The sequence below is a fragment of the Homo sapiens genome, chromosome 4 (genome assembly GCF_000001405.40).
Source record: "Homo sapiens chromosome 4, GRCh38.p14 Primary Assembly".
Lineage (NCBI taxonomy): Eukaryota > Metazoa > Chordata > Mammalia > Primates > Hominidae > Homo > Homo sapiens.
The window spans coordinates 129,990,063-129,994,897 of record NC_000004.12 but is presented as its reverse complement, the minus strand read 5'-3'; the positions used below and the strand labels follow the sequence as shown (position 1 = coordinate 129,994,897).

The following is a 4,835-nucleotide window of genomic DNA, read 5'->3' as shown; positions in this document are numbered from 1 at the left end:
CTCACTTCTTCTGTGAGAGAATAATCTTGATGTCTTGAAAGTTATTAGTCATCTCATTCGGAAAGTAGGATGGAATGAGCACCTAGACACTACATTTTTGTTGTTGTTGGTGGTGGTGTTGTTGTATAAATATTTATCAGGGAATAGTAACAAAAACAACAAAAATTCAAAAAACATAGTCCATACAATTCTAATTTTAAAGTATACCCTATCAGTGCCTAAAATGGAACCAATCAAGATTACATGCTGAAAAAAATATTAACGAAAGAAAATATTTCTCAAATACTAATTGCTTCAAGCTTTTAGCTCAGTTGGAAACAATGGGTGTTAATTAGCTTTTGATCCCCATAAGGGTAAATTAAATTTATACAAAGAAATCTCGGATCCCTAGGCACAGATTACACCCTAATATCTCAGCTGGTGATCCAGTAAATGCATTCAATTGATCACCAAGGGATTCAGTGTGGGAAGTTGGATGCTTATTGTAAATTCATTACTAACAATGTAAAAATAACTTGAAAAGACTTCCAACTCACAGTGGGTAAATCATATCATTTTCATATACAGAAGAACAAGTTGAAGAATATGTTTGGCAAAATACAGCAATCAAAGTAACAGACTTTGCTTCTGAGTAACCACAATAAAAATCATGTATGACAACAGATCAATAGCCTATTCAGAGACCCTACAAAACAAATTTGTTTTCAATTTCAAAAAATATCAAATTACATCTATCGTGAATATTAAATGACTGTTATGAACCTACATTGGAACTTATAGATATGCATGTGCAAGCAAACAGTTACTTTTTAGTTGCGTACAATGTGGATACATAATGATGCATGCTGAGAATATGGGCTTTCTTCACTGAACACAATTAAAATTTCACATGTATGCAAAAGAAAGGAATGAAAAATAAGCAGATAATTGGGGTGAATTAATGAGCACCTTATTAATTTCAATGTACTCTTTTAACCTTAAAATCATTGGGTACTTCAGATTTTTTTTATATTATACTAAAATGTCACTTAAAATCAAGTGCTATTTTTTAAATATAATGATCTGCGTTCTTCTTAGGCATATAACGGTTTTCACCTCAACTGAATAGCTTCTCTTAATCTATAAGAATTTACTCACCAATTAAGTTAAGAAGTTTAATAGCTTCTAACTTTTACTCATGATAGAAAAGTCAAGGTCCTGATTAAGCAAATATGGAGCTGTAATTTGATTCTTCAATTTTCAAAAGAGAAAATAGATTCAGAAAGTTATGTAGCATGCCCCACATGTAACCACCCAACAGGTTCACGTTGCCTGCTGCCTAGACAGAGCTGATTTATCAAGACAGGGGAATTGAAATCGAGAAAAAGTAATTCACACACAACCATCTGTGCGGAAGACTGGAGTTTTATTATTGCTCATATCAGTTTCTCCTATCCAATATCAAAGTCTTTAAAGATCATTTTGTAGTAAGGTCTCCGGAAGTGGGGAGTGCCGATTGGTCAGGTTGGAGATAGAATCATAGGGAGTCGAAGTAAGATTTTCTTGCTGTTTTCTGTTCCTGGGTGGGATCACGGAACTGGTTGAGACAGATTACTGTTCTGGGTGATGTTAGCTGATTCATGGAGTGCAGGGTCTGCAAAAGACCTCATGCACTGATCTTAGGCTTTATAATAGTGATGTTATCCCCAGGAGCAATTTGGGGAGATTCAGACTCCTGCAGCCAGAGGCTGCATGACCCCTAGATTTCTAATCTTGTGGTTAATTTCTTTGTCCTACAAAGGTAGACTGGTCCCGAGGCAAGAAGTGGGTCTTTTTGGGAAAGGGCTATTATCAATTTCATTTCAGAGTCAAACCATAAACTAAACTCCTTCACTAGGTTAGTTTGACATACACCCAGGAATTAACAAGGGCAGCTTAAAGGTTAGAAGCAAGATGGAGTTGGTTAGGTCTGATCTCTTTCACTGTCATAATTTCCTCAGTTATAATTTTTGCAAAAGCGGTTTCACAAATACTCAGTTATTAGGTGAAGGCGAGATTCAATCAATGAGTGACCATAACAAATTTTTTTTTCTAGTATACCTATCTGCCTTCTAAAGGGCCTTCTTGTCCCTGTATCTCTCCTCCTCTCTCTCTAGCATTGAGGCAAGCAGTTATCCATGTGGGTTCTGCGTGAGGCATAAAGATCTAGGTAGAATCCCATATCCATTGCTCAGCAGCTGTGTGACTTTGAAGAAGTTACTTATTTCCCTCAGTTTTGTTATGAGCCAAATAGAAATGGTAATAATGGTTATCTCACAGAGTTGTGGGAAGGATTAAAATTACATAGTTCCTGTAAAGTATGTAGCACAGTGGCTATCACATATTAAGTACATGATAATGCTAGCTGTAGCTATCATGTAAGTAGGCAATAATGCTAGCTGTAACTATAAACACCCGTGTGAGTTTGGGCAAATTATTTTACCTCTCTCTAGACTTTGATGTCCTCATTAATAAACAAAATTAGAGTAATGTTCTCTTCCATAAGCCTATTACTTTTGCTGTAAAAATAATAGCAAGCAATAACGTAATTATAATTAAGTAAATTAACATTTTAACAATTCTTCATGGAACTATATTCAGTACAAAACAATCAGTTTTGTGTCCCCAACTAAGGGGCTGATTCTTACATTTCAAAATGAACTTAGCCATTGAAAAGAACATTGGAGAAGAAAGCAGCTGAGGTATTTCTGTAAGTATTACATAATATATTCTGTAAGAGAAATAAGACCTTAGTATGCAATTATTTTAAAGGCTATGTGTGATTAATAGAGTTGTACGTACTAGAGAGAAGCCCTATTCCTATCCTAGAGACTCATAAAATATTTGATGAGAAAAAAACATATACAATATGCAGAATATTATAACAATGATTAGTTAATCAATGAATTGATGGTATTAATTACTCAATATATGAAGTCTTTGCCTTGTGATCACTCTGTCCCACCCACATTGCAAAGATGCTTTCCTAGAAGATGCTGAACAAGCTCCTGCAGTAAGGCCTTTGAATGTGGAATTCTCTGCTTGATTAAGTCTTGCTCCCTATTTTCTACAAGTCTTTGCTGAAAATAAAGCTCTCAAAGTTCTTCTCTGATTAACATACGTAAACTTCTTCCCCAATGAGGTACTCCCTTATCCCCTTTTTCTTTCAACACCTTGATCTCCTTAAGAATATTTTTAAAATCTGTACCTCTTGTCACTGTTTAACATATCATGTATTTTACTTATTTATTGTGTTTATTGCCTCTTTCCTTCTCTTGAAATGTAATTTTTTAAAGATTTTTTCTGTCTTTTATTTCCACTGCAATAAACCAGTGCTTAGAACATTGCCTATCTTATAATAAATAGGCACCCAGTAAATATGTTAGAAGAGTAAATAAAATAGCTCCAAAATATTGCAAAATAAATAAAAATAAAAAGAGGCAGTAGTTATCACCAAGCAGTGTTACTAGAAAGCTGTGGTATAAACATGGAAGAAAAATATACTCTTAACTTTATTTACTTTTCTACTTTTTGAATCAACAAATTCAATTGCATGCATTCATATTCAAAAGTAAATATTTTAGAAAAAAGGGTGTCTCGCAGAAACTCTAAATATTGGATATAATTAAGAGAAATAAGTTGGCTGACCTCAGATTAATCTTCCACCTATCTTTAAATCACCACCAGATTTTTCTAAATGTTTATAACACAAGTAATTTTATTTCCTTTATTTTTATGGTTTTTATATTTTTGTGAGTGGCTGTTTCTCAAATAATAAACATAAAGAAAATTGTTTATTTTAACTCTTTTGGGTTCTTGAAAAAATCAATTCCTGTGAAATTCCATCTGCGTGTTTTGGCAGACTTTTTGATATCAACATTTTACTTTTTATTCCCCAAGAGAGTTGGGAAAATGAGCTTTTGTTCACACCTACATTTTTTTCTCAAGATAAGTTTTCCCTTATACCAAAAAAAATCTCTTTCAATTACATCCAGGCCACAAGATACAAGAAATAGCAAGTTCATGCCAAAGGTATCAAAAGTACATTGCAGTGGGAACTTAAAAGTCTTTTTCTGAATCCCTGTGAAGTGGCACTATGCAGGTGATACTAGCCATATGCAGCTATTTAAATTAAAACCCAATAAAATAAAAGATCAAGTTTTAGTTGTACTAGCCACATTCCAAATATTCAATAGCCACATGTGGCAGATGACTACCATATTGGAGAGTATATCACTACAGCACTGCAAGAATGGTTTTCCTGTCCTACCTGAGGCTATGGCAAGAAAAGAAGATTAGAAATCTAGAAAATATAAATATGTAAACACATATGGAATTGGCTTTTTCAAAGCAAGAAGTAATCTTTTTAACTGCATCCTGGCCATTCTTTGGTCAAATACTAGAGGATAAAACGCTGATAAGAGCCTCCAGTAGAGTGCTTGCACACATTGTACTTCCTAGGTTTTCAATAAATACATGCTGAAAGAATTAACTGATTATTATTTTATGACGGTTTTTCATGTGCAAAACACTGTTTAAGACCTTTGCAAGAATACACACACACACACACATACACACACACACATCCTCCCAGAAATTATGACTTTAAAGCAATTATTTTATTCTCTGTTTTTGAGTCATGTTAATTAAAATTTGTAGAAGGCCATTGTTTTGGACTGAGCTCCTGCACTAGATCCCAATAGACCAAACTAAAGCAGAGCGAACTGAACTGTAAGGAAGTAGGAAAATCCTCGGACAGACAAGTTTTTGTCTGAAAACAGGAGCTTCAACAACCAATTGGAAAGAACTCAGTCAAC

General features: G+C 34.1%; 1 annotated feature.

The window, feature by feature from the left end:
• Positions 229–398: an enhancer, noted in NCBI's record as "experimental_74277 CRE fragment used in MPRA reporter constructs". NCBI's record gives its function as "activates a minimal promoter by MPRAs in K562 erythroleukemia cells, with activity observed for both the introgressed and non-introgressed 4:130915740 variant alleles {active_cell/tissue: K562}" and the evidence as "EXISTENCE:reporter gene assay evidence [ECO:0000049][PMID:34662402]".